Here is an 18,325-nt window from a genome sequence, read left to right on the forward strand (position 1 = left end):
TAATTTTTGTATTTTTAGTAGAGACGGGTTTCACCATCTTGGCCAGGCTGGTCTCAAACTCCTGACCTCAAGTGATCTGCCCGCCTCGGCCTCCCAAAGTGCTGGGATTGCAGGAGTAAGCCACTGCGCCTGGCCTAGAAGTTTATATATTGAATTATCTTCCAGCTTATGGCTTGGCTTTTGACTTTGGTGTCTTCTGATGAATTGAGGTTCTTAAATGTAGCATGATTTATTGGGCTTTATATTTTTTATTATTCCTTTATATTTTGCATTTTCTGTCTTGAGAAAAAAAGTCTTTGTACTGAGATAAAAGGAAGCTTAGTTCTGTGAGAAAGTAGAGACAAAGATGCTCTAAACATCTTTCTCTGTCCTGTTATTGTTCAGGGGTAAAAATGTCTTTAGCTTCTGATTGCCTTCATTTCTGCTTTTTGTTTTGTAGATACAAGTCCAATTCTGCTCAACTGCTTGTTGAGGCTCGAGTTCAGCCTAATCCATCAAAACATGTGAGTGTCTATTACTTGAATGAGGCTTCTCCTAATTGCATGTGGTTCTTGCTTTGGCTTGCAGTGTCCTTAAGAGCTATCTTTACTTGGCTGGGTGCGGTGTGGCTCACGCCTGTAATCCCAGCACTTTGGGAGGCTGAGGCGGGTGGATTACGAGGTCAGGAGATCGAGACCATCCTGGCTAACACGGTGAAACCCTGTCTCTACTAAAAATACAAAAAAAAAAAATTAGCCGGATGTGGTGGCAGGCACCTGTAGTCCCAGCTACTCGGGAGGCTAAGGCAGGAGAAAGGCGTGAACCCGGGAGGCGGAGCTTGCAGTGAGCCAAGATCATGCCACTGCACTCCAACCTGGGCGACAGAGCGAGACTCTGTCTCAAAAAAAAAAGGAGCTCTCTTTGCTTTGTTTATAGTTCAACATGCCCACAATATTTGTTCTAGTATTGACTTAAATCTTCTGTTATGGTTTGAAAAGTTTCCTTATAGATAGGGACTAAGTCATTGCCTGTCCTTGGGCCCTCTCCAGCCCCACTTTCCTCTCTGCACTTTCAGCCTGCACTCCATTCCTTCTGGGTGCTTTGGTGTGTCTGAGATTACTGCATATGTCTTCTGTTTGTGCCTTCCCTTCCTAGAATGTTCAGACTCTGGCTCCACCTTTGCTTATAGGGAGGGAATTCACCTTTAAAGACCCCAGTCCGGCCAGGCACGGTGGCTCACGCCCATAATCCCAGCACTTTGGGGGGCCGAGGCGGGCGGATCACTTGAGGTCAGGAGCTTGAGACCAGCCTGGCCAACATGGTGAAACCCCATCTCTACTAAAAATACAAAAATTAGCCAGGCCTGGTGGCGCATGCCTGTAATCCTAGCTACTTGGGAGGCTGAGGCAGGAGAACTGGTTGAACCCGGGAGGTGGAGGTTGCAGTGAGCCAAGATCGCACCCCTGCATGCACTCCAGCCTGGGCGACAGACACTCCATCAGAAGAAAAAAAAAATCTAAGCCACCTCTGACAAAGCCTGTCTCCTGGATCATTCCCCTGGAAACTCACCTAATTATATCTATAAACTTTTACATGTGTGTTATAGTGATTAACTCATATCATTTTACCACCCCTACCATAGAAGCTGTATTTTAACAATGCATAGCAATTTCCTGTTTATCTAGGAGCTAAACGAACATATGTCGAATATTTTTTGAATGAGGGCCATGCTAAAATAGATCTTGGAAGGCAGAATTGGGGCTCAGATCACCACATAATTTCTGCAGCCTCTTAAGACAAAGGTTTCCAGAAGCAAAATGGATAAACATGAGAATCCAGTTCTTTTTCTCAACTTGTTTTTTTATATTCCCAGTTAACTAAAAAGAACCTAATGTTCTTGTAAGTGGACTTTTCCATTGGTTTGTGGTTTTAGCCAAGGTCCCCAGATTGTCTTTCTCTGCCAGTTTGTGTAGCATGATGTGGATTCTGGAGTTCATGCTATACAGTTATTTGCACACATTCTAGAAGAGTTTCTTCCCCTAGTTGGTGTCTCCACATCCCCCCCGCCAATATTAATTACATGTGACATCTGGTGTATTAAGGATGAGTTGTAACTTGGTAAAGGCTGTAGTATTTTGTGGTTTGGGTACGTCGATATAGTGAAACCACTGTCCTTGACAAGTAAAACTACAGTGTTGGCTGTTAGAAGATTTATAAACTCATCCTCTAATAACCTTTGTGACTAGGTTTCTAGTAGTTGTGAGGGGCAACTCTGCTGTGCTTAACAGGGGTAGTCTACAAAAGAAACCTGATAGCTTCTAAAAGAATTTGGACTAAGTGACTTCTAAGGACCTTGGCAATTCTGAAACCCTGAGTTTTTCAGTCTGCCATTATAAACCACTGTAAGTTCTCATTTCAGCCTTGTTTCTGCCTCTGAATCCTGGTGATTTTGCAAGCCCAGCCCAGCTGCCACCTCCTTCAGGAAGCCTTCCTGGTATATACTTTTAGCTTAGTACCCTTGGGACTCAGAGTCCACACATTGCAGTTGAGCTCTGATACTTGTTGCAGGGTGAGGATCACTTTCCATGCACCCGGCTGCATGAGGTACCCTTATGGCCTTCTGGACCTGACTCCTCTTTGGCTCATGTGGCTCTGTTTCTCTCCAGGTTCCCACATCCCATCCCCCTCACCACTGTGCAGTGTGTATGCAGTTTGTGCGAAAGGAAAACCTACTCTCTCTGGCCTGTCAGCACCAGTTTTGCCGCAGCTGCTGGGAGCAGCACTGCTCAGTTCTCGTCAAGGACGGCGTGGGCGTGGGTGAGTCTGCCACAAAACTTATAAAAAGCTGGCATGAAGTGTTTATCTTTGACTCTGCCTTTTCATGTACTCAAGTAAACTGAGTATTTTCTTCTGAGCCTGATTGGGGTTTTTATCATCAGAACTAGTGATTTTCAAATACATCCATACAAACAGTGACAAAGTTTTCCCCAGTCCTCAGCAAAACGAGAAAACTAAATATACTGTTGTAAATGTTGGCGTGAGTGCAGAGCTACCTTCTCTCACCTTTTGGGAGAACGATCCTTTAAGCTGCCTACCTTGATTCCACAAGTGGCAGCCATAACTCAGAAATGCCCACAAGAGTTTGCTGCTATTTAGGTAACATAGCACAAATCAAATTTGATGATTAGTTACAGAAGTATTTGTTATACTGTGATTTGATGATACTGAAACACATTAGCATCGCATTAATTGATATCTGCAAAGTCCCACAATTGGTGATAATCACCTCTAAATAATGTTAAACATCACAAAACTCAATTGTTAGTCAAGAACCTATATAAGGATTTTTTAAATGGTTTTGTTATTTAATGGTGCCGTTAGTGATACAATTTGGGATAATATTTTAGTTTCATTGCTGTGAAAATATGCTAATTTCTCTCTTCTCTTTGAATAAATTCTGTTGCTTGAAGAGTTTCTTTTATGCAACTTGGATTTGTTGACAGAACTAGGTGGGCAAGTTGTGTCTTCTGCAGTATGCTTGTCCATCACTTTTTTGGGTTTGTTTTTTTTTTGTTTGTTTGTTTGTTTGTTTTTTGAGACAGTTTCGCTCTTGTTGCCCAGGCTGGAGTACAATTGCATGATCTCAGCTCACCACAACCACTGCCTCCCGGGTTCAAGCGATTCTCCTGCCTCAGCCTCCTGAGTAGTTGGGATTACAGGCATGTGCCACCACACCTGGCTAATTTTTTTTTTTTTTTTTTTTTTTTGAGACGGAGTCTCGCTCTGTCGCCCAGGCTGGAGTGCAGTGGCGGGATCTCGGCTCACTGCAAGCTCCGCCTCCCGGGTTCACGCCATTCTCCTGCCCCAGCCTCCCAAGTAGCTGGGACTACAGGCGCCCGCCACTACGCCCGGCTAATTTTTTGTGTTTTTAGTAGAGACTGGGTTTCTCCATATTGGTCAGACTGGTCTCGAACTCCCGACCTCAGGTGATCTGCCTGCCTTGGCCTCCCAAAGTGCTGGGATTACAGGCATGAGCTATCGCACCTGGCCCCATCAGGTTGTTTTTGTTCAACAGGAGTCTCTTGCATGGCTCAGGACTGTCCACTCCGTACACCAGAGGACTTTGTGTTTCCATTGCTTCCCAATGAAGAATTGAGAGAGAAATACAGGCGCTACCTCTTCAGGGACTATGTGGAGGTATGGCCAGCCTTTGTTCTGCCCTCTGTCTTCCCGGGCCTACCTTCCATCAGAGGGTCACCACAGTTACTTACTTTGTAGACTAGGCTGACATTAAGTGATAGTGTTCAAAGAAAGCGCTCCATGGCTTTAAAAAAAGTTTGAAAACCACTGGAGTGATAGTGAAGAGTACAGGCCTTAGAATCAGACACACCATTGTGTGAAACTTGGATACTTCCTTTCTTTGTGACCACTCTTTTTTTTGCGTGTGTGACTGCCTTGCTGTGTTGCCTGGCTGGAGTGCAGTGGCGCAATCTTGGCTCACTGCAACCTCCGCCTCCCAGGTTTAAGCGATTCTCCTGCCTCAGCCTCCCGAGTAGCTGGGACTACAGGCATGCACCACCACTCGCAGCTAATTTTTGTATTTTTAGTAGAGACGGGGTTTCACCAGGATGATCTTGATCTCTTGACCTCATGATCTGCCCCCCTCGGCCTCCCAAAGTGCTGGGATTACAGGCGTGAGCCACTGCACCCAGCCTCTTTCTTTTTTTTTTTTTTTTTAACCTCTGAGTCTTGATTTTCTCTTCCATAGACAGACCTCCCCACCTTATACATAGTTGCTTAAAGAAGCTATTGTGTGTCAGCAGGTGAATACAAATTAGGCATATTTAGGAGCTGCTGTTAGATTCAGTTTCCTGTGTGGTTGAGCAGAGAGAAGGGGTATTGCTTTTTGAGTAATTGGAAAACTTGTCCAGGATTCAGCGTGGTCACTTTTGGAGTCCTTTCCCTCTATTAGGCCATCTGCTAGGCCTGCTGATTCCATGCAATATAATTTTCTTTTCTTTTTCTTTTTCTTCTTTTTTTTTTTTGGAGACAGGGTTTTACTCTGTCATCCAGGCTGGAGTATAGAGGCACAAACATGGCTCACTGCAGCCTCTGACCTCCCAGGCTCAAGCAATCCTCCCACCTTAGCCTCCCGAGCAACTGGGACTACTGGCGCGCACCACCAAACCCAGCTAATTTTTGTATTTTTCGTAAAGATGGGTGTTTCACCATCTTGCCCAGGCTGGTCTCGAACTTCTGAGCTCAAGCCATTCACCCGATGCAGCATAACTTTCATCTTTGTCTTTTTTGCCTAAGCTTTTCAGATTAATTTATGGTCTGGGTCTTGTCATGCACATGCCGCAGGATAAACAGAAGGCCTTGTTCTTTATGCTGTTTGCTGCCTTTGAGGGTCATTGAGCTCCTCAGATATATGTTTTTTTTTTTTTTTTGAGATGGAGTCTCACTCTGTCACCGAGGCCGGAGTACAGGGACACGATCTCAGCTCAATGCAACCTCTATCTCCCAGGTTCAAGCGATTCTGCAGCCTCAGCCTCCTGAGTAGCTGAGGTTACAAGCTCGCGCCACCACACCCAACTAATTTTTGTGTTTTTTAGTAGAGACAGGGTTTCACCATGTTGGCCAGGCTGGTCTCAAACTCCTGACCTCAGGTGATCCACCTGCCTCGGCCTCCCAAAGTGCTGGGATTACAGGCATGAGCCACCGCGCCCGGCCTTGTTATTTTTTATTTTTTTCAGAGACAGAGTTTCACTGTCATCCAGGCTGGAATGCATCGGTGCAATCAGCTCACTGCAGCCTGAAATTTCAGGCCTCAAGCAGTCTTCCCACCTCAGCCTCCTGAGTAGCTAGGACTATAGGCAGGAGCCACTATGCCTGGTGCAATTCTATATAAACTTAGATCATTCCAGTGAGTTGCTACCTGGTTTAAGCTAAACGTTCTAAATTCCTCTTTAATATCTGGCTTACGTTTGGTCTTCACATCCTTTCTGAATTTATATAGCCCCTTCGTATAAGTCATCAGCTGGGAGAACAGAAAGTGTTTGAATATTCAGGGGGTTCTGATTTTTAGACAGCAACTAAGAGATGTCCTCATTGTTTCCTCTTGGTGTGTTCACAGAGTCATTACCAGCTCCAGCTGTGCCCTGGTGCAGACTGCCCCATGGTTATTCGGGTACAGGAGCCTAGAGCTCGCCGAGTACAGTGCAATCGGTGCAACGAGGTCTTCTGGTAAGAGTGAGTGTGAGTGCTGAGCAGCCCTGGGCTCATGCCCCATCCTCCAAAGCACCACTGCTGTTGCTCCATGTGAGGGCGGCACTGGAAGAGGCAGGGTCTCTGAGCCAACAGAACAGCTGTGCTCCAAGTGGGTAGGTTTATGTCCAGCATCTCATATTCCACTAGGTCTTCAATACATGCTCAGTCTGGAGGCAAGGAAGTGACACAGGTTCTTGGAAAATGTGTTGTGGCTTATGCTACTAGGTCTCATGGCCCAGAGATTGTGTGGGATGTATCTGCCTGCATAGCTAATCACATATTACTGTGTTTGAAAGATATAAACTTGAACATTTTAATCTTTCTCTGTCTTGGCCTTACTTGGCTAATTTTTGTTAAACTAAGTCATAAATATATTCTACATCTACTCAAGGTTCACTTCATTCAGTAGATACCATGGGAATAACTAAAGTTTACCGAAGGCTTACCAGGTGACAGGCACTATCCTGATCACTTACCCTGCATTATCACAACTGTATATGACCCTTATATTCTCTCTTTTTTTGTTGTTTTCTTGAGACGGAGTCTTTCTCTGTAGCCCAGGCTGGAGTGCAGTGGCACATACTTGGCTCACCACAACCTCCGCCTTCCAGGTTCAAGTGATTCTCCTGCCTCAGCCTCCTGAGTAGCTGGGACTACAGGCATGTGCCACCATGCCCAGCTAATTTTTGTATTTTTAGTAGAGACAGGGTTTCACTGTGTTGGCCAGGCTGGTCTCAAACTCCTGACCTCGTGATCTGCCCGCCTTGGGCTCCCAAAGTGCTGGGATTACAGGATTGAGCCAACCGCGCCTAGCCATGACCCTTATATTCTATGAATAAATCAAGGTACAAGGTAAACCTAGTAAATCGTAGAGCCATAATTTAGGCCCAGATCTGTCCTAATCATACCTCCCTGGAATATTCATGGTGGGGCTTCAGAGAAACTACATGGAAAATGTGATGTGTGTGTGTACGCACATGCCTGCATTTCAAGACATTATTGACACCAAAGGTTAAGAATCACTAATGCAGTGGTTCTTTCATTTTAAATCCGGCAGCCCCCAGGATCACAGCAGATTCAGAAGACTCCTTGTAATTGTTCTTTATCCTTGTGTCCCACTTTATGAAATTCTTTCCCTGGGTATTTGCCTGAGGGCCTTTTCTAGCCACAAAGTACTGTTGGCCTCCACAAAAGAAAATTTCAAAATATGGAAGCCTAGCCCGACGAATATTGGAGTGTCTTTTTTTTCTGTTTTAAGTTTCAGTGTCATCAGATGTATCATGACCCTACAGATTTTGCACGTTCTGGCATTTGTGCATTCTTGTGTGCATATCTGACTGGGAGATCCGATGAGACTCCCGGAAGTGGGTCTCAATCCTGCCTTAGGTCTGAGCTAAGGAGTCCTTCTCAGAGCACCTCACCATGCCCTTTGAGAGTCATAGCTCTGTGTTTGACATCTTGGGAGTTGGTAAACAAGATGTTTAAACAAGGTATTTAACATACATATCATAGCTCACTGCAGCCTCAAACCCCTGGGATGAAGTGATCCTTCTGCCTTAGCCTCCCAAGTAACTGAAACTACAGATGCCCAGCTAATTTTTTTAAATTTGTTGTAGGGGCCAAGTGTGGTGGCTCACACCTGTGACCCCAGCTTTAGGACCCCTGTGACTTTAGGAGACTGAGGCGGGTGGATCACCTAAGGTCAGGAGTTCCAAGACTAGCCTGGCCAACATGGTGAAATCATGTCTCTACTAAAGATACAAAAATTAGCCAGGAATAGTGGCAGGAGCCTGTAATCTCAGCTAGTCAGGAGGCTGAGGCAGGAAAATCACTTGAACCAGGGAGGCAGAGGCTGCAGTGAGCCAAGATCATGCCATTGCACTCCAGCCTGGGTGACAAGAGCGAAACTCCATTTCAGAAAAAAAATTGTAGAGACAGGGTCTTCCTATGTTGCCTAGGTTGGTTGGTCTCAAACTCCTGGTCTAAAGCAATCCTTTTTTTAAAAAACAGGGTCTCTCTCAGTTGTCCACGTTGCAGTACAGTGATGCGAACACAGCTCACTGCAGCCTTGACCTCCAGAGCTCAGGCAAATCCTCCTGCCTTAGACTCTCTAGTAGCTGGGACTACAGACACATAGCACTACACCTGGCTAATTTTTTCATTTTTTGTAGAGATGGGATCTCACCATATTGCCCAGGCTGGTTTCAAACTCCTGGGCTCAAGCAGTCCTCCCATCTCAACCTTCCATAGTGCTAGGATTACAAGCATGAATCACTGCACTCGGCCTACAGAAATATTTTATTTGTGCGTGTTAGAGCATGTCTTACAAAGGCTTAAGTTGAAGAGACATTCATGCAGTATTTCAGTATAACTCTGGGTAGGTAAAGGTTCCACAAGCCTTGAGAGATAACTTTACCTATTTGAAAAGCTCTAGGCCGGGCACAGTGGCCCACGCCTGTAATCCCAGCACTTTGGGAGGCTGAGGCGGGCAGATCTCGAGGTCAAGAGATCAAGACTATCCTGGCCAACATGGTGAAACCCCATCTCTACTAAAAATACAAAAATTAGACTGGGCGCGGTGGCTCACGCCTGTAATCCCAGCACTTTGGGAGGCCGAGGTGGGTGGATCACGAGGTCAGGAGATCGAGACCATCCTGGCTAACACGGTGAAACCCCGTCTCTACTAAAAATACAAAAAATTAGCCGGGCATGGTGGCGGGCACCTGTAGTCCCAACTACTCGGGAGGTTGAGTCAGGAGAATGGCATGAACCCGGGAGGCAGAGCTTGCAGTGAACCGAGATCACGCCACTACACTCCAGCCTGGCGACAGAGCAAGACTCTGTCTCAAAAAAAAAAAAAAAAAGAAAAAAGCTCTAATTCATGATTTGTTGGCTTGGATAAAAGGAAAATTTTGAACATGGGACCCTGACTTAATGAATATTTGAATGTTTTTCTTTTCCAATTTTAAGTTTCAAGTGTCGTCAGATGTATCACGCACCCACAGACTGTGCCACAATCCGGAAATGGCTCACGAAGTGTGCAGACGACTCTGAAACAGCCAACTACATTAGTGCTCACACTAAAGACGTAAGGACCGTATTTTACCTCTCATGGATTTGCCCTCCTTAGTGCTGCCCAGGGCCTTGCCTTGGAGATTTGCCATCTGAGAGCAGAATACCCAGAGCCCCAGGACCCTTCCTGAGGACTGGGGGTTTGGGGACCCTCACACAGAGTTGGCAGCTCGTAGCAGTTTATTATAGGATGCATTGGGTGCATATTTTCTTTATTATGATGAAATGCCAAAATGCCAGGAAAGGGGGACCCAAAGGGGGAGCTAATTAGAAGAGAACTAATTATGATTGAACGCCTACCAGCCTTTAACAGCCCTGAAAGGGAGGTGGTTAATAGCCACACTTGATACATATAAGGCTGTAATGCAAGCCCAGACCTGCACGATACTCATTTTGAAGTCTCCCATGGGAAAGTATGGCCTGTGGGCTCTAGGGGCCACTGTACCCTTTGTCAGTCACTCGCCGAGTCAGTGCACTCACAAGCACAGTTACGATAACGACATTATTAAACATAGTCGACTTCACGGCAGTGGGAGATCACAGCATCAGACTGGTGTCTTCATTGCTGCCTCAGGTTGCTGGCATCTCTCAAATGGGAGAGATGAGCTTTAGATGTGGTTTCCTTGCCCTCTTCTCGAAGCAGAAGTTCAGGCAAGCTGACCAGGACTGAATCCATTGTGGCAGCTCCTGTGCTTCTTTGGCAGTCCTCTCAAGAAGGCAGGCTTTCTGCTGATTCAACTTGTGCTTAATCTGAGTAGCTTCATGGCAGGGGCAGATGGTGGAAGACTTAGTGGGGTTCAGCTGGTGCTTGAAGCATTTCAAAGCTAAATGTGCTGACCTCATTTCCTTGAATTGCTGTTCCAGCCTCAGCGACCTGCCACATTTAAGTGAGGTGCTCCTCCCCAGAAGTGCTCACACCATGAGCAACTGGGCACAGGTGCCAGGAGCTTTGTGTAATTTGTCTTAAAACCAACCTGGTGGTGTGTGAGCCTAATGGCACCCTTCTGTCTCCTCAGTGTCCCAAGTGCAACATCTGCATTGAGAAGAATGGAGGCTGCAATCACATGGTGAGCAGAAGCCTCTGCAGTTTGCATGTGTGACATGGAAGCTTTGGTCAGTGTGCCCTTAACGTGTTTTCTTCTGTTTCCCTCTGACAGCAATGCTCCAAATGTAAACACGGTGAGTTCCAAGCTTGGTGTGTAAGGCCCAGTGGCACTTTCTTGTGGTTGGGTCTCCGTTACTATTTAAGTGAGTACTTCTGCCATGAAATGACAAAACATAGAAGAACCTCAGTCACTTAACAGTCACAGTAACTGGCATAAAGTAGCTTTTTATTTTTATTTTCTGTTTTTTGGTCCCTCTTATAATCCCACTGCTATCTTGCTAACACATATAGTCAGAAGTCAAGTTTGGGATAAACCTCATGATCCTCAGTTATCCAAGAAGATGATTTCAGGGTGTTGCTTTCATTTTTTTGCCAAGGCAGGTAAGTAGCTTGGGGCTTATCTGTGCTACGTTGTAGATACCTTTACCAGAAGTAGTAAAATAATGGTTTTCCCTTGCCGTTTTACAAAGTTTCTAGTGGGGGTTTTGATTTAGCCTTTCAGACCTCCTTCATCCATCAGGAATAATTTACATAGCTAGAACCCATGTATGCCATCCGGCCAGGTCAACTGAAGAAACAGAATCCCTTCAAGTAGAAAATATGTCCAAGTGGGTCTTCTACGCAGCTGCTTTGATGCTCAACAGGAGCCCCTGACAGTTTCTTTTTTTTTTTTTTGGGAGAAGGAGTCTCACTCTGTCACCCAGGCTGGAGTGCAGTGGCGCAGTCTTGGCTCACTGCAACCTCCATCTCCTGGGTTCAAGCAGTTCTCCTGCCTCAGCCTTCCAAATAGCTGGGATTACAGGCATCTTCCACCACGTCTGGCTAATTTCTGTATTTTTAGTAGAGATGGGGGTTTGCCATGTTCGAGGCTGGTCTCGAACTCCTGACCTCAGGTGATCTCCCTACCTTGGCCTCCCAAAGTGCTGGGATTACAGGAGTGAGCCACTGTGCCCGACCGAGAATTTTGCTTTGTAAGGGCCTATGCAAATGCTATTTCCAGGAACCCTCTTTTCTTTATTTTTTGAGACAGAGTCTCAGTCTGTCGCCCAGGCTGGAGTGCAGTGGTGTGATCTTGGCTGACTGCAACCTCCACCTCCTGGGTTTAAGCAGTTCTCCCACTTCAGCCTCCTGAGTAGCTGGGATTACAGGCACTCACCACCACACCTGGCTACTTTTTTATATTTTTAGTAGAGACGGGGTCTAACCATGTTAGCCAGGCTGGTGTCCAACTCTTGACCTCAGGTGATCCGCCTACCTTGGCCTCTTAAAGTGCTGGGATTATAGGCATGAGCCACCGAGCCTGTACTTTTTTTTTTTTTTTTCCAAAGATGGAGTTCTGCTCTTGTCGCTCAGGCTGGAATGCAATGGTGTGATCTTGGCTCAATGCAACATCTACCTCCTGGGTTCAAGCGATTCTCACTCCGCCTCCCCAGTAGCTGCTATTACAGGCGCCCACCACCACACCTGGATAATTTTTATATTCTTAGTATAGATGCGGTTTCACCATGTTGGCCAGGCTGGTCTCGAACTTCTGACCCCAGGCAATCCGCCTGCCTCGACCTCCCAAAGTGCTGGGATTACAGGTGTGAGCCACCGCTCCCGGCCCCAGGAGCCCTCTCAATCAGAGTGGTCATGCCAGGATCTTAGACAGCAACATTGACTCTGCAGTGCCAAACGAAGATAGGCCATGGGTAGTGGCATATTTCTTCTGTGGGGCCACATTCTTTCGCTCTCTTTTTCTTTGTATATATCAGAGAGAGAAGTGTATCATACACTTAGAACAATGCAGAAGACACAGAGTTTAAAGAATAATGACAAACATCCCAGCACCCACCACATTCCTAGTGCCTAAGAAGCCCCCTGGGTGTCCATATCCCTTGACACCCAGAGTTCACTGCCATCTCACGAGAATCACTTGAACCCCGGAGGTGGAGGTCACAGTGAGCCGAGATTGTGCCACTGAACTCCAGCCTGGGCGATAGAGCGAGACTCTGTCTCAAAAAAAAAAAAACTGGCTGGGCGCGGTGGCTCACGCCTGTAATCCCAGCACTTTGGGAGGCCGAGGTGGGCGGATCATGAGGTCAGGAGATCGAGACCATCCTGGCTAACATGGTGAAACCCCATCTCTACTAAAAAAAAATACAAAATTAGCCAGGCGCAATGGCGCACTCCTGTAGTCCCAGCTATTCGGGAGGCTGAGGCAGGAGAATCGCTTGAACCAGGGAGGTGTAGGTTGCAGTGAGCCAGGATCGCACCACTGCACTCCAGCCTGGGCAACAGAGTGAGACTCCGTCTCAAAAACAAACAAACAAACAAAAAACTGCCATCTCTTTCTTTGCTGTATGTTTTATACCACCTATATGGGCAACCGTAGGGAATGTGGTTTTTTGTTTTGTTTTGTTTCGTTTTTTGAGATGGAGTCTCACTCTGTCACCCAGGCTGACAGGCTGAGTGCAGTGGTGCGATCTCGGCTCACTGCAACCTCCACCTCCCAGGTTCAAGCAATTATCCTTGCTCGGCCTCCTGAGTAGCTGGAACTGCAGGCACATGCCACCATACCCAGCTAATTTTTGACAGAGTCTCACTCTGTCGCCTGGGCTAGAGTGCAGTGGTGCGATCTCGGCTCACTGCAACCTCCGCCTCCTGGGTTCAAGCGATTCTCCTGCCTCAGCCTCCCAAGTAGCTGAGATTACAGGCGTCCGCCACTATACCCAGCTAATTTTTTGTATTTTTGGTAGAGACGGGGTTTCACCTTGTTGGCCATGCTGGTTGTGAACTCCTGATCTCATGATTAGCCCACCTTGGCCTCCCAAAGTGCTTGGATTACAGGCGTGAGGCACCGTGCCCGGCCTGTATTGTTCTTTAAAATGGTAGCAAGCACACCTAGCTAATTAAGGAGAGGGCATTGTTGCCACTATTAGGTGAAGGCTCCCAGGAGGAGAAAAATTGAACAACCTCTGGGTCTCCGGGTTTTGCTTTGGCTTCCCTAAAATGATTCAAGAGCCTCATTTTTGGGGAAGTCAGTAAGCCAAGTTATCCCTGGAGAGTGAATCCTGGGAAACAGGATTTACCATTGTCAGGGTCTGGAAGAGGCAGAATAGGCCAGATATAAAATCTAATAAGGTATTATTAGAACAATGTGTGTTCTAGACAACCAGGAGGACTTCAGACAAGTTTTGCTTCTCATAGCAGCCTTGACACAGATATAACAAGGCACATAGCCCATGTGCTCATGGAATGCAGAATATCAACAGGCCATTGTTCATCCAACAAAACTGTGGTTGGCTTCTCTCCATTAGACTGCAGTAATTCTTTGAGCATCTAACAATAATTTTTTGAACATATAGGGGATTTTTTTTTTTTTTTTTGAGACACAGTCTCGCTCTGTCACCTAGGCTGGAGTGCAGTGGTGTAATCTCGGCTCACAACCTCCGCCCTACAGGTTCAACCAGTTCTCGTGCTTCAGCCTCCCAAGTAGCTACTGGCATGTGCCACCACACCTGGCTAATTTGTGTATGTGTGTGTGTGTGTGTGTGTGTGTGTGTGTGTGTGTGTGTGTGTATATATATATATATATATTTTTTTTTTTTTTGGTAGAGACGGGTGTTTCACCATGTTGGCCAGGCTGGTCTCAAATTCCTGACCTCAGGTGATCCATCCGCCTTGGCCTCCCAGAGTGCTGGTATTACAGGTGTGAGCTACCGCAAAAGCAGAATCATAATTCTGATTATGAACCATTGGATAGCTCTAGGTTTTATAGAAATGTGTTATTTGCCAGGCGCAGTGGCTCACGCCTATAATCCCAGCACTTTGAGAGGCAGAGATGGGCGAATCACTGAACACTGGGGGTTCTCGAGACCAGCCTGGCCAACATGGTGAAACCCCATCTCTACTAAAAATACAAAAATTAGCCAGCATGTTGGCAGGCACCTGTAGTCCCAGCTACTCGGGAGGCTGAGGCAAGAGAATCGCTTGAACCTGGGATGCAGAGGTTGCAGTAAGCCAAGATCGCGCCACTGCACTCCAGCCTGGGTGACAGAGTGAGACTCTGTCTCAAAAAAAAAAAGAAAAAGAAAAATAAGAAATGTGTTTTTTAAAATAGAAGAAAAAGGGGGAAAGCCTTTATTCTTAGTTTCATATACAAAAATCTTTCTAGGACAAGTGTGAGGGTAGGAAGCAGTAGGGAGGTCAGTTTGTACTGATGATGTGCGTTTAAGACAGTCAGGTCGGCCTCAGTTGGACTAGTTCCTCCTTCTTATAGTGGCATTGACATAGCAGACCAGTAGTCTGTATGGTCAGCATCTGCCTGTGTTAGATTAATAAGGCGCATGGCACATGTGCTCATGGAATAGAAATTATCCATAGGCTTTTGTTCCTATCAGCAAGTACAGGCTACAAGGACAGTAGGATGTGACAGGGATGAGAGGTGCACATTCCTTCGGGAAAGAGGCACCCTTGGGAAGTTGTGTTCAGGTGACCCCTTTGGGAGCAGGGTCTGTCTGTCTCACTCCTCTGCCTATGGAGGAAAGTGGAGTTGTCTTGTAGATGTAAATGACTCTTCCTCTGTTCTGCACAGACTTCTGCTGGATGTGTCTAGGAGATTGGAAGACTCATGGCAGTGAATACTATGAGTGCAGTCGTTACAAGGAGAATCCTGACATCGTGAACCAGAGCCAACAAGCCCAGGCGAGGGAAGCCCTCAAGAAGTACTTATTCTACTTTGAGAGGGTAGGTGTCCTCTCCTGTACCTTCCCCTACAGGGTAGGCTTCTTCCACTTGGCCTGCTGGTGGGATTCCCAGGGACTGGTAGACAGAGCTAGCCTGTGCACATAGAAGTCAGTGAATGGAGCTCCTGCAGTATCCCTGGTGCTGCCTCTATAGATGTGCCTTTCAAGCTCTATAGGGTATATCCCCAGCCAACAGGGAAGGACCTGGTACTGACCTTGGTTGAATGATGGATTGAAGGACAATGAAGGGCCATCAGACAGTCTTTTCCATCTAGTACCATCTTTTTTTTTTTTTCTTTTTTCTACGTTTTTAATTTTTATTTATTTTTTTCTTTCTGTCCTCACAATCTGTTCCCATAGTATCATCTTAGTAGTCAGATTTGGAAGGCAGTTTCTCCCAGGGAGCCCTTTAGAAGCCCAAAGAGCCCCATGCATAATGGTCTCTAAGCATAGTAGACCATCAGGGGCCTAGCTTTGCAGAGTCCTCAGGGCTCGAGTCCTGTTGCCCCAGAAGGGTAGAGCGATCTGGCAGTAAGCATACAGCTGCTCTGGACAGGTTAGAAGGATGGACTGAAGAAGACCTGCTCTTGCACTTTGGGGAATAAGTTAGAGGAGTCTGTGGCCATGTCCTGCCAGCAAGGTGTCTATCCTGAACTCCTGTGTAGACCTCTGCACCTTCATGGGACTCCTGTGGTTTTCTTCTTCTTCTGTGCCCTGTAGTGGGAAAACCACAATAAAAGCTTGCAGCTAGAGGCACAGACATACCAGCGGATTCACGAGAAGATTCAGGAGAGGGTCATGAACAATCTGGGGACATGGATCGACTGGCAGTACCTACAGAATGCTGCCAAGCTCTTGGCCAAGGTATCTACCACTTCACTCATCTTATCCCTGGTCCAGTGCCTGGCTCCGTCAGGCACAGACCTCTGATAGTGGGAAGCTCTGTTGAAAGAGGGTATTTTAGCACCCTGTGCAGCCTTTCATGCTTCTGCTTGTGGATCCACATTTTCATGTGCTGTGCCCATTAAGGACCCAGTCCTCTGATGGATGTCCAGGGGATTTATAAGAGTGTTGCACTGCCTCTGCCTGCAGGGAAAACTAGAGCACTTTTCTTCTCCTTTTGTCCTGTTTATGTATCACTCAAAGGAAAATAAAAGATTGTCTGATCACTTGAGGTCAGGAGTTTGAGACCAGCCTGGCCAACATGGTGAAATCCTGTCTCTAATAAAAATACAAAAATTAGCTGGGCATGGTGGTGCATGCCTGTAGTTCCAGCTACTTGGGAGGCTGAGGCACGAGAATTGCTTGAACCTGGGAGTCAGAGGCTGCAGTGAGCCGAGATCACACCATTGCACTCCAGCCTGGGTGACAAAGCAAGACTGTCAAAAAAAAAAAAAAAAAAAAAAAAAAGATTGGGCAGGGTGCAGTGTCTCACGCCTATGATCCCAGCACTTCGGAAGGCCAAGGCAGGTGCATTGCTTGAGCCCAGGAGTTTGAGACCAGCCTGGGCAACATGAGAAAACCCCGTCTCTACAAAAAAAATACAAACGTTCGCCTGGTGTGGTGATGCACACCTGTAGTCCTGGCTACTTGGAAGGCTGAGGTGGGAGGATCGCTTGAGTCTGGGAGGCAGAGTTTGCAGTGAGTGGGGATTGCACCACTGCACTCCAGCCTGGGCAACAGAACAAAACCTTGTTTCAAAAAAAAAAAAAAGGTTGTCTTTGGCTAAGCATTGAGATAGATGTGTTGACTCTGATGTCCTACTCAAGAGGGAAAATCCATTGAGGCAGCTGCTGATAATCAGTTTGTAAAAGAAACTGTGGGTGTTCTGTGACCATCGTTGTTTGTTTTTTCCCTCATGTCTTTTCCCAATTCATCCTCTATTTGGCCTAGTATCATTTCTTTCAGGCCTATATCTATAGAGCTGGGCTAATTTGCATGTTGAGGGTAGGAATTGTAAGAGCCACCTGAGATGCAGGTAGCTTAGAATCACAGACACAGGTTCCTTCTCTTCTCTCCTGTTGCAGTGTCGATACACCCTGCAATACACCTACCCATATGCATATTACATGGAGTCCGGACCCAGGAAGAAGCTGGTAAGGCAAAGCAATTTTTCTACTCTGTCCCGTTAGCCTCAAAGGTGCCCTTCTCTACCAGCACTTTGCAGGAGAGTGAGGACCAGACCTTGGTCATTGGGAGGGCAAAGTTAAAACAAAACTCTAATTGCAAAATTCCACTTCTGCTCTGGGCACCTCCAAAATAGATCTCAGGTGCTATTATTTTGTGTCATATAAGGCACATGCACCTAATCCTCTGAACAACTGTATTTAAAGGGCGATTGGCTAAAAAGGTCTGTGGCCAGTGGGAGGCCAGTAGTGCCCATGCTTGGGAGGGATATTTAGCATGCATGTCCTTAAGATATATTTGACTGTTTTATACCTTGTTTAATTCTTCATCTTAGAGTTGAATTTGAATATGAATTTATTGTTATTACCAATAGTGTTAATAAACTAGTAATTAACATTTTTGTTTAAATGCTGGAAAACAGAAAAGCATTTACATTGTCCAGAGAGAAATTACCACTGTCAGCATTTTCCAGCCTTTTAAAATTAACATTGTGTATATATAATCAAGGTTATATATAACATTTTATTGTTATAACAGTTTATTGTTATAGCTGTTATGATTTACCTGCCTGGTAAATACCATTTTGTTAATGGTTGCATAAATGTGTCATTACATGATTGTACCATCACTTGGGACATTTATTCTTTCTTTCTTTCACTGCTATAAATAGGACATTGAGGAATATTTTTGTGCATAAAGCTGTATATCTTCTTAGATGTATGATTACTAAGTATTTAAGTTTGAATATTTTTAAGGCTCTTGATTTGCTGGAGGACTGAAAAAAATGAAGTGATAGTGTCTGAGAATATTCATTTGACTTATTTTTTACAGCATCCATTCCCTTTCATGTTGGGAGTGTTCTCTTTAGTGGCTTAAATTCTTTGCCTGCCTTTGGGAGTGTGGAGGGTGGAGTGGACCTTTTGAGGGTCGAGGGTGAATGTGGCCTTGCTGTTTGGATAGCCTTTTGTTTGGATTCTGGCTCTGGGCACAGGGAATAACACTACTTTCTGAGGACAGTATCAGGATTGTCTGTAGTTCCTGTGAG

The 18,325-nt window shown here is 45.9% G+C and overlaps 1 protein-coding gene across 37 annotated transcripts in view; it reads left to right on the forward strand.

Moving 5' to 3' along the window:
* ARIH2 (ariadne RBR E3 ubiquitin protein ligase 2) overlaps window positions 1-18,325 on the forward strand; it is a 67,541-nt gene that overhangs the window by 45,638 nt on the left and 3,578 nt on the right. For 19 of the 37 annotated variants that reach the window (NM_001349210.2, XM_024453309.2, NM_001349220.2 and 16 more), the window contains 10 exons: window positions 440-503; window positions 2,646-2,796; window positions 4,055-4,176; window positions 6,116-6,225; window positions 9,220-9,337; window positions 10,338-10,388; window positions 10,479-10,500; window positions 15,003-15,154; window positions 15,874-16,017; window positions 17,181-17,249. In NM_001349210.2, coding sequence (NP_001336139.1) covers window positions 440-503; window positions 2,646-2,796; window positions 4,055-4,176; window positions 6,116-6,225; window positions 9,220-9,337; window positions 10,338-10,388; window positions 10,479-10,500; window positions 15,003-15,154; window positions 15,874-16,017; window positions 17,181-17,249 — 1,003 coding nt within the window. Of the gene's footprint in view, window positions 1-439; window positions 504-2,645; window positions 2,797-3,581; window positions 3,699-4,054; window positions 4,177-6,115; window positions 6,363-9,219; window positions 9,338-10,185; window positions 10,389-10,478; window positions 10,570-15,002; window positions 15,155-15,873; window positions 16,018-17,154; window positions 17,250-18,325 lie in introns of all 37 variants that reach the window. The other 18 variants (NM_001349213.2, NM_001349216.2, NM_001349214.2 and 15 more) reach the window with 6 other exon arrangements.

This window comes from Homo sapiens, chromosome 3, assembly GCF_000001405.40.
Source record: "Homo sapiens chromosome 3, GRCh38.p14 Primary Assembly".
NCBI lineage: Eukaryota > Metazoa > Chordata > Mammalia > Primates > Hominidae > Homo > Homo sapiens.